Source organism: Homo sapiens, chromosome 12 (assembly GCF_000001405.40).
Source record: "Homo sapiens chromosome 12, GRCh38.p14 Primary Assembly".
NCBI classification, from domain to species: domain Eukaryota; kingdom Metazoa; phylum Chordata; class Mammalia; order Primates; family Hominidae; genus Homo; species Homo sapiens.
The window spans coordinates 89,835,445-89,847,620 of NC_000012.12; positions in this window are offsets into that span (position 1 = coordinate 89,835,445).

A 12,176-nucleotide genomic window follows, 5' to 3' on the forward strand; every position below is an offset into this window, starting at 1 on the left:
GGCAGGTGTGTGCAAGGAACTGCCAGCAGATGATTCATCAAATATTGGTGGAGTTCCTGCTCTGTCCCAAGCACAAGGCTGGGCACCACTTACCATTGTCAGAGCTTGAAGAAGGAGGCAGGGGATGGAGGGAAATGGCACTGAGCAGGGCTGTGGAGACTAATTTTGAAGGCCTGATGTGCTGCTTTTCTAAGAAACTCTTCTCATTGGTGATAGGGAGTCCCTAAAACATTTTAAACTAATTTTTATAGAATGAACTGCTTCAAAAGGCCTTAGTTTTATGATGGTAAAGGAGGCCAGTGTCTAGCATTTAATATTTATTTGATTAAAAAAAAAAAGACATGCCAGCATAAAGAACAGAATACTTTTCCTTTATGACCTCTTTTGGGCATCAATTCATTCACTGAGCAAATGTCCACTGAGAATTTGCCCAGGGCCAGGCCCAGTGATATGCACTGATGAAATGAGATAGAATAGGACATTTTAATCCTTTTCCCATAGCATGTGCAATCCTATGGAGGATCAGTAGGCAAATAAATAGAAAGTTGCAAATTATATGTTAAGAAATATGCAAACAAGAGGCTGAAATAGAGACTAACAAGAAGGGCTCCCACTTTTTATAAATTGCTGGGAAAGGGCTAACTAGGAAGTTTATTATATTTAAGGCTAATCCTCAGAGTTGAGAAGTAGCCAACCATGAAAGAGGAAAGATGAGCATATCAGGAAGAGGGAATGGCTAGGGGAGGGTTAGATATGGTTGCTCAGCTGAAAGATGAGCGTGGCAGGATTCTATGGGGTAAGGAGGAGTAACACAGGAAATGAGATTGCAAGGACAAAAGCCAGAACTTGCAGGGAGTTGTAAATTCTGCTAAGAAGTTTGGATTTTGTCCTCATTTCTTTGGGAACAGGATTTGGTGTATTTTCAATGTGGTTACATAATTTTTTTAACATGAATTACCTGACATATATTTATTTGGGTACTAAATCTTAAAAAATATTTAAAATAGATTGATGATGCTTACAATGAATTTTTCTGTGAAAAAGAGCCGAAAATGCCTATATTGTTAAAATGAGCCAATTTATCTCTTAACTTATTGGACAAAAATGGAAAAAAATAAACACCATTTTGAGTGGTCTTATAGGACAACGTATTCACATCTTAATCTTCCAGCGATTATTGAAATGTCTGTTCCAGCGGCAATTCAATGGTTGCTGAGACTATACAGTGGGGATTTTGACATTCAGAAGAGAATTTCTGAGAAGATTTCAGTTAAACAATCTGAAAGTTATATCTCCTGCCTTTAAACCACCAATCAATTATATCCCTCAGTGTATGTCATGCTCAACAGAGAAAACAATTCAGTTGAGCTGTATCCTAAGTCAAGGAGGTTGATATCAGTTACAGGCCAACCTCTTAGGTAAGGTTTCATTCCCTCTGGTGCAGGAAGATGTTAGGTCTCATGCTGCAGCCTGGACCATTGTGATTTTGACTACAGCAAGGCTCTAAAAACAAGTTGTAAGTAGAGTACAGATTCCCATTGGAAATATCTAAAATAGAAGTGTTACTTTCTTAAATATCACTCCCCTATTTAAAAATATTGGTTATTTTTTCTATTAACTGAGTTAACACTATGCAATGATTCAAAAATTAAAGAGTAACTAGGGCAATACTAAAGATTGTTCAAAAACTAAAAGCCTGTTTGTACAAACTGAAAACTCATTTACTTAAGTCTTGAATATCAAATATAGAGTGAAAAGGAGCAACGACTCCAGTTTATCACTAAGAGGTGAAAAAAATTTACCTGATATCAGGTTTAAAGCTGTGTTAGTGTCCAGCTGAATTTATAACTAAGCCATTAAATAAAATGATAACATGTTTGATCCTCTTTTATTCTAAACTTCCAACTGCAATTATTTTCTCTTTCTTCCAAAAATGACCAATCATATACTGAGAAAATCTTATTCCATTATTATTTCCCTATTAGTGGATTTTCTGCTGAACTATACAGTAAAATTATAATAAATAGTAGAGTTATTACAAGCTATCCTGTGAGTTATGTAATATGCTGAGTAGATCCCTATAAAACCATACTTATCTAATTATAATGAGGCCAACTCCTTGAAGAACACATGTTTGTGTCTCTTATAACTAATTAATGAAGACCGAAATAATTGATGGTGAATGTAACAGAAGTATACCAGTAGATACTGAAGTTTATCTCCTTTGTCACCATTGGTTCTTTATCTGTAGTCCTAATATTAATTGATTAATTTGTCAAAACAATGGCTTTGTTTGCTTTCTATCCTAATGGTGCAACATTCTTGTGGAATACATAATGTAAGTTTAAAAATCCTAAAATAAATTATGAATGGTGGAAAACAAAAATTAATATCAAAAACTTCTTATATATTAATTTTCTTAAATTTTTAGATTTTAATGGTCTATTTTCATGACTAAGAAAGTAGTCTATTAGTTTATTCACTCATAAATGATTGAAGCTTTAACTTTCATTAAATATGACAAATAAGAACTGCACTGATTCATTCTTCTAGAAGTGAAACAATACCTATTTGCATGATTTGAAATCTGAATAAATCTTTACACCTATCTTCTGTAGCAATACAATAGCATCAGTTGCTTAGCCAGGCATTTGGGCATCTGTACAACTAAAATGTTGAATAAATTTATTTTTAGTAAACTTGAGTATAGAAGATAAAAAGAAGAAAAATACTGTATTAAAATATGTTTCATGAATTATGAGCCCTTTCATAGTAAATAATAAAGCTGAGTTAGCTGACAGACAAAGCACGAAGGTGATCCCATAGCCATAAAGATGCTTTGTAAGAATGACATTATAGTTTGTGCTTTGAAAGCAGTGAGCTATCAATGATGATTTGTATCAGTCCTAGATCCCGCAAGGAACCCTACAAAGGTCAAGTGGTTTTGGATGAAATTAGCTTTTACCCCTATATTTTAAATCTTTCCTTTCCTAGCTTACTTTATTAATTTTAAAACCACACCCTGCCCACCCACACAGAACAATTGGAGTTTACAAATTCTTAGCTAATTCATGTCGCAAAACTTCTAGGCAAAGACTTCACCCTGTTACTAGAAAATCCAAGTGTCTGTCAACACTCAAATAGTTACATGTTATGTCAAGATATTATATTTTTAAATTATTCCATTCACTTGGGTTTTCCAGATTTTCCCAGTTTTTTAGAGAAACCTCATTGGATTTATGCAGATAAATTTTCCAAAAAGGTCTTCCACAGTCCCTTTGTACTATGCTGCTTTATTGAAAAGTAATAGGAATTTAGCTTTTTCTCATTTTGAGCTACTGTGTATTTTTCACTTTGAGGAAAATGGGACAGGCTGTAGATGACATCAATCTTCTTGGTCTTTCGTCTCTTTTTTGATGAGTGAAGAGAGAACTATGTGAGTTTCCATATCTGTCTTTTGCTTATAGTACAAAGATAATAGAGCATCTTTTCTGAAGGATCTGACTTCCACTTTTCAAAAGTGGCTGAGAATAAGGAGTCAAGGAGGTTTTACATCTGTTATTCATTGAGATATATGGGGCTGCATTGACACCTGCTTTGTTGAAAGGGAGAGCTAAATTCATCTACTAACCTCTTGTTAGAGCAGCTGTGACTGTGAGGAAGAGGATTGAGGCCAAATACTCAATGTTCAAACAGAACTACTTGAACAGTAAAATTAAGTAGAAATGAAAAGCTTGAACAGTATATAATTCTTACAGGGAAACTAATTTGAAAGCAATGCAGATTTTTAACTTAAAAGTTTCAGATTTTACTAGAAAAATTTAAGAGAAAATTGCAAAGCCACAAGGTATTTAAAGTTCTTTTCTTTATTGACAGAGTTAAGGAAAAAAGCAGCTCTAAAAATTTGACATTTCTCCTTACTTCATAATCTGAGACTTAAATAACAAGCATCATGAACTTTTGATTCTGTGTTGCTGTTAAGCCCCGATTTAATTACAAGGGCTATTTAAAAATTCACACATTTATGCTGAGTATGAATTACATATGGTTTCTAGACCTGAGAAAAATGAACACAAGGACTATGTACAGTGTCATGGTAGGTAAACTGCCTGTTAATTTTTTTTCCAGATCAGTTTACGTAGTGTAACTATAGCTTTGTTTTATCTACCTTTAAACTCAATTCACCCAACAGTAAAGGATCTGAACTGGTAACACAGTCTAGATGACTGATAAGATAGGATCACGTGGTACAAATGGAGGATTCATTCTCTCTCTCTTTTTTTTAAAAGAAATCTCTTTAGACAGGCATTTGACTCAAAGATACTTTTGCACACCAGAAGCCTAAGGCACAGTTTATAACCCACTGATGACAAAAATAAATTATTTCAAGCTGAGAAACATTTTCTCCCACAGGATAAAGACATTTTATTCATGGACAAAATGTCCTATGGAGGGGATCTTATAATCACATCACTCATTACCATAATCATCAAATATATACAACATCTAGGTCCAATTAATGGAAGATGGGACCATATGGATGTCTGTTACAGTGACGTGGTGAGAAGATTATGGTTTGTGCCTTCAGTCCAAGTGCTTTACAACCATTAAGCTTCTCAGTACCTTTGTGAAATAGGTAAGCAATTTTCTATACCCTGCTTTCCTTTCGTGCCTCAATCTAAGTAAGACTGCTGCTAATGATTATCCTTAAATATATAATGATAACTATGAATTTAAAATGTCTAAGTGTCCTCAGGAGGGACTATATAGCTAATTGTGTGTTTTATGGGATGTCTTAATGAGGAAAAGCACCACATCTCGTCATCATGTCACTTCTGTTGTGTCTTGTTAAAGTGACCTCATTCACAAAGCAAATGCTGAGGCAAAGACAGTTGTTAGTATGAACATACATGAGGATGGCTTCAGTGTCCTCTCACCACCTGCTGCTGAAAGTGGGAGAGAGGAAGTACTTTCAACACAATAGGTCAACTCTGGTGGCTTTGCCCTTGCACTTTCTTTATAGTGACATGTCTTTGGAGTTATAGCCTAGGGAGGAGCTGGCAAGGACAGATAGATGTGACATAACATTAGTTTTGTATTTGTATTTATAGGGATGTCAGGTGTATAAGGGAAGGTGTTGCAAGACAACCAAATAATGCTTTGTTTGGACGTATAAATAGCTGGTGGGGTTTTTGAGTTCAAAGAGAAGATGGAATACACGGTTTTTGTGTAATTTTGTACAGTATTGTGCAATTCAAAGAAATATTGAGACAATTTGGACAGTAAGCATCTGGATGACTACATATTTTGTGGCTTGAGTTTATCTAAAATTTCTACATCTTATACACATAGTGCTCTGTTAGCTAAATTAAATTTGATTCCTGTAGATGTTTACAGCTTTTAACTGTGAGACCTCTGCAAAAATTACTTCTGCCAAATTATACTTTACTGTTGCTGAATTATACTTTACGATTGCCTTGTCTTTCAGAGGGGCATAATGCAATAAAAAGGTGGATAATATCACTTCTGTTTTCTTTATACGACTGATATTTAAGACATTATTAATTATGTTTCTTCATGTACCCAACACAATTTTAATATATTCATTTTATAATTTGGTACCAGAAAAATGTGTTTTTTTCAAAGTTTTAATACAAGAATCATGCAGCCTATCATATTTGATTTGTTACCGTGGTTCTCAGGAAGCTTAAAGATAAATAATGATAGTGATGATATGCTCTTTACATAATGAAACAATTTGTTTTATCATTTTTATACACCAGTCAAATCAGGCAGAACTTGATATTTGGGTCATGCAAGACATTATGCTCACTTACACGGACGTATTGACTGTATAACCCATATGCTAGTAAGACCTAAAATGTCTCTTGATTCTGGAAAATAGGTTGGGAAATCTTTTGGCACCAATATGATTAAACCCTACCTGAAGAAAAATGTAAGACAAAAAGAATGAAATTATGGTCCCCTTGCTCATTGATACGACGCAGCGGAGTGTACCCTGGTGGAAAAAACCCTGGATTTAGACACAGAATGACTTGAAATAGCTCTTCTACTTTTTTATCTGTATGATTCAGGGCATGTTGTTAGCATTCTTGAATTTCAGTATTCTATTTGTGGATTATGTAAAGCTCTTAAAGAGGTGCCTAGCACAAAGTAGGTATTCAATAACTTGACTTGAAGCATTGACTATTATTATTTTTAATATCCTTTTAAATAATAACTGTTTGTTGGCTTAAACTAGATAATACTAGTTAAAACCTGAAAACAAATACATCTAAATAATTCCATAAGATGCAAAAAAAATTAATGAACTATTGAACATTTTCTATTTGAACGTAGAGGTTTTACAAACATTCCACTATGTATATTAAAACATTATAAAAAGGGACTTAATAATTTTTTTTTTTACTTGGATAACATGGAAGTCTAAGATATGTGTAAAATTTCATTTTGAGTTTAATACTTTTTTTTTTAAGAATGCAAAAACTATGATCCCAGTTTTAACAGGACAAAATTTTAATATTTAAAATTGATAGAAGTCAAACAATGAGTTATAATTAAGGAATATCCTAAGGTTTAATAGTTCTACAAATCCAGAAACTACAGTACTAATTTTTGTTGTTTACATGTCTATATGTAGTTAGAACCACCAATTTACAAATATTTTATCCTCTAAAACTTTGCTTGTAACTCGCTTGTTTGAAACCCAGAGTGAAATTTCTTATAGAAAACATATTGTAAATACTGGCTTGTTTTCAGTTTATCCCCCTTCCCAAAGCTGATTTAATCTGTAATAATAAAGCTGAAGTTTTATGTTTTCAATAAAAGGCAGAAAACAATACTCTGCAACATCTTTTAATTTTAAAGCTAACAAAATACATTTAAGCATACAGAATATTCATTAAGCTATTTAATTGAATATTTTTCCATTAGGTAACCTATAATTAAGAAAGATGGAAAGAGAAATACTTATAAAATTTATCTTCAACGTGTTTAATTAGATGTGGGTAAGAAGGCTGGAGGGAAGTTCAGGGCATATTCTGGAGAATTCTGGGCCATTTAATGGTTTTGGAGGTTCAATTCAATGAATATGCTTTTCATGGAACCTGCCTCCAGTGAGACTTTGTGTTGCATATTTTAGTGAAGCCAAAGCTGAATAAAACACCATCTCTGTACTTACACAACAGTGAAGATCAAGTCTAGCTGCATAGCACAGGAAAATTAAAAAGAACATTAGGTTAAACAGAAGTCTATTTCCCTCCTATGAAAGGAGTCTGGAGTGAAGTAGTTGACTGCCAGCTAAGGACTTCAGCTACACCTCCCTTTCTCTTCTGCTGCCTATGGCTCGTCTTCTGTTCCCAAGCCCACCTCATGGTTCAGGATGGGTTCTGGAAATTTAGCTGTCTCATTTGTATCTCAAACAGCAAGAAGACAGAAGGAGCAAGAGATGGACACACTCCTCCTTATAAAGGAAATTTTCTGGAAGTCTTAGAAATACTTTGATTTGTTTTTCATTTGGCCAGAACTTAGCTGCCTGGGTCACTTATATGCATGAGAAACCCGGGGAAATGTGGTCATTTAGCTGCCTGCCTATGTCTCCAGCTAAAATTCGGATTTCTATTTATTGCAGAAGAAAGGGAGAATGGATTTTGAGGGCAACCAGCAGTATATACTGCATTCTCCAGGCTGATTCAGTATAGAAATGGGTTGGTAAATGTAATGAGTATTACAACACTGGTCACTGTGAGTGAAGGGTCACAAGAGAGCTACACAGAAAGGATAGTGTGAAATGATAAGAAATTAACTTTGCCTAAATTTCAGTTTTGATCTTTGCATAATGTCAAAACTTCTCTTTGAAAGATAATAGTAACCAATGGTTTTTATTTTGCTTATATTAAAAGTATACCATTTACAAGAAAAAACCTTAGCCAGAATTCACCTCCCAGTCATCAGAAATTCTCCCTCTCACCTCCTCACCTCCTCAGCTACAGTGACTTCTCTTTGATCCCAGCTCCCACTTATTCCTGTATGCTTGGCAGCTGACATGACAGGTCATAGTCTGACTGACTTTGGGCGTCATGCACAACACCTAGACCATGACACTTTTAATTCTATTAATAACCACAGATGTAATTTATTGAACACATTCAGAGAGCAAATATGGTTGGGAGTACTAAAGATGTTTTCATGAAAGGACCAACACCTGAAGGAAACATGGAGGGGTGGGTGGTGGATCATATATTGTGGCCCTCCCCAGTGCACAGTGCTCTTTCCTTCTGGCTGGCACACCCCAAATTTGATGTCCTTCTTAACAATCAGCCTTTACAAAGATGGAAAACTCTTTATGTCATTTATAGCTTAAGCTTCCCTTAAACTGAGGACTAAACATAACATTAAAGAGTTCTTGACGAGAATCTGAGGGCCTCTTTGAAAGGGTTTGAGGGTCCCAGGGGATCTTGGACCCTCGAATGGGAAACACTAGTTTGAGCTCACAAAAGGAACATGCTATTTTCCTGTCAGGGGCAGTATATTATAGTGGTTAAGGGTTTGGTCTAGAGCCGTGCTGACCAGGTTTGAACCTTAGTTCTGTCCCTTACCAGCAGCATGGGGAAGTAACCAATCAACCTTTTTCTACTTCAGTTTCCTCATCTGAAAAGTGAGGATAATTGTAATAACTATTTTGTAGGTTATTATAAGGATTAAATGAGTTAATATTTCTGAAGTGCTTAAGCAGTGACTGACATACAGTTTGTGCTATTAAATAAAAAAAACAAATAGTTTCTCCTTCCATATTATCAACAATTCTCAACATTTTGTGAAGTATAGTCCCTTTACTTGATTTCCCATCCTCTTTTCTCTTTGTGCTTGCTGAGAATAAAAGAAAGGTCCCTTTGCTGGCTTGTGTTTCCTTAAGGTCTTACTTCATTAGTCACACAAAGAGAACCTTGGGGACCCATCATTTAGCAAGGACTCAACTCGATTCTTATCAAATGTCCCTTGTTCTCAGATTCTACTGTGAGGAAGGAGTAGAGTGGTTCATTCTTCCTCTTACAATAATGAACAAGTCTGGATTTGAATTCAGGTTCTACCACTTTTACCTGCATGTTCCCTTAACCTTTCTAAACCTTTGTTCATATGTTAAAGGGAATAGCAATATCTTACAGGATTGTGATGAGAATGAAAGGAAATGATGAATATAAAGCACCTATCACAATGCTCAACACATGGTAAGTGCTCACTAATTTACATCCATGGTTATCATTAGAATTAAAGACGTCATGGTTTAGGTGCTGTACATGAGCCCCAAAGTGAGTCAGATGATGACCTGTCATGTCAGCTGCCAAGCATACAGAAATAAGTGGGAGCTGGGATCAAAGAGAAATCACCATAGCTGAGGAGGTGAGGAGGTGAGGAGGTAAGGGGAAGTTCTGATGATTAGGAGGTGAATTCTTGGCTGAGGCTTTGCCTTATAAATGGTATACTTTTAACTTGAATATTAAAATAAAACAAAAACCATCCTTTTTTATCATTTATCATTTTTCCTTTTTAACTATTATCTGATTTTTTAAAACTTTTATTTCAGGTTTGGGGGGTATGTGTGAAAGTTTGTTACATAGATAAACATGTGTCCTGGGGGTTTAGTGTATAGATTTTTTCATCACCCAGGTATTAAGCCCAGTACCCAATAGTTATCTTTTCTGCTCCTCTCCCTCCTCCCACCCTCCACCCTCAAGTAGACCCCAGTGTCTGTTGTTTCCTTCATTGTGTTCATAAGCTCTTATCACTTAGCTCCCACTCATAAGCGAGAATGTGATATTTGGTTTTTTGTTCCTGTGTTAGTGCTAAGGACAATAACCTCCAGCTCCGTCCATCTATCATTTTTCAAAAAGAAATTTTGACATTAGGCAAAGATCAAAACCGAATTTTGGGCAAAGTGACTTTCTGATCATTTCACTAAGTGGAAGCAACAATTGCCATGAAGCATAATATGAAACCTCAATGTAGAAATGGTGGACTGTAACAGCATGTGAAAGTCAAGTTTCAACTTATTTCTTGGAATTTCTGGGCAGAAGTGAGAATCCTCTCAATAATAGCACATGTTAACATAGTCATAAGCAATTACTTTTTAAAATAGAAAAGGTCCCTTGAGATCTATTTATTCAAACTGCATTGCATATAGCTAGGGAATTCTCAGAACTGCAGTGATTAACTCCGTAATATGGTTCAGCTTTCTTTATTGTTTGGGGCTCAGCGATTCTTGTGCTATACAAACAGGCATCATTCTCCTTAGCTGAAACAAAATGATTGGTCTGATACTAGATATAAGTTTTTCAAGATGATGTAGGATAATTAGAAGTGATTCCTTTAGATCATATTGTCTAATTATTATTTCTGTCCTAAGTGCAGATGAACCTTTATGAAAATGTCTCTCCAGAAAGATTCATCTTCATGATGAAAGGCTGTCACCACGGAATTTCCATTACCCAGTGAACCTGCATACATAATAGCCAGAGGTAGAGGCTCATTATTTTCTTTTCTGCTCTTTGATCCACTCTAGAAATTTTGGAAAGTTTGAATAATATGGAATCATCTGAATCTTATTTAAATTTAAATGTTTTCATTTCTGGGAAGTTTAAGTAATATTCATTTGTGTTCATTTTGTTAGCAAAGCCAAGATTTTGTTGATACAGACATGTATTATATAATCTTAAAGTTTTTTTCTCCCCACATTGTCTCGAGTTATTTTTTGACAAAGTTAAATTGATAAAAAAGTTTATTATCTTTTTATTGTATAAAGAGATAACTTCTAAAATGCTACATATTTTTGGTACAAAAACTCATGCTAATTTGTTTTGAGTAGTACATCTGAACTTACGATGGCCTTTGGCCTATAGAAAACAGAATGCCTGACCTATTCTTGGATTTTATTATGCAGTAGACAGGACAATGTTAGTATAAAACACATGGTTAAAACTGGACAGAAACAGTCTGAATAAACTGTTGCAAACCTTCAATGAAGTGAAGAGGTAACAATTTCTACAAAGGGATTGTTCCATTTTGGGCCAAAATTATAGCTCTGCAAGGGTATAAGAAGTTCACCAGATGGGAGGCCGCTTGAATTTGCAACCATATATATCTTTTTCTGCTGAAAGAAAGAGACATTTTTTCCCTGACATGTTATCAGGGAAATTGTCATTTTTATTCTTTATCTGTCACTCAAAGTTGTCACTACATTTAGTGGCTATTTATTCTGCACATTATTCCTACCTCTAATAGTGCTGTCAGCCTATCTGGTATTTGTGTGCCAGCAACACATTTCTTTCTACTTCAAACACAACTTCTGGAAAGTAACTTCCTCCTTCTGTTATAAATCCCAAGAAAATCATTGCAAGAAGCTCTAGTCTGTCCAAACTCCTTTCTGTTCCTTATTTTTAATCAAAATAGGAACTAGTGACATTTTTCTTGATCAGTGGAGCATTGTTTTGAATTATTCCTTGAGTTGAAGTGTTCGATTCAAGAAGATAGCTTCATGCATTTCCACTGAACCTTCTTTGGGGTAAATGGCACAAATTCAAAGTTGAATGGTGAGAGGTAAAAGTGCAAATTGATCTGTAACCCTCATATTATAAATATTTCAACAAACTGAGCTCAATAGTATTAAGAAATAATGAAATCAATTTTTATTATTATTTTTTTTTTCACATTTGTCATAGAACTCAGAAGCGAATCCCCACTCAGACACACTGTAGCCTGAACAACAAACTGGGAATTCCAACTACTTTGTGATTTTGAGGAAATTTTTTTTTTTTGTAAAATAAAACAAAAATCAAACCAAAACAAACCAAAAAAACTGAGTACTCTAATCTTTTCTTTACCACAGATGTGCTACATGATTATAAAAAAGTTAATTAGCTTCCCCAGTCCAGTAATTCCCTTGTCAATGAACTGAAAACCAAAGTTATTGCACGGGACAAAAATACTAAGATTGTTCTTCAAAGATTTTCACTGTGATTCCTTATTTAAATGTTTATAATAACAATCTATTTATCAAAAAAGTTAACTAATATCTAACAAAGAAGATAAAGACTAAAACATGATTCTTTGAAGCAATCATGAAAGTATTCTGAAATGTATTACCTAAATGAGCTTAGAAG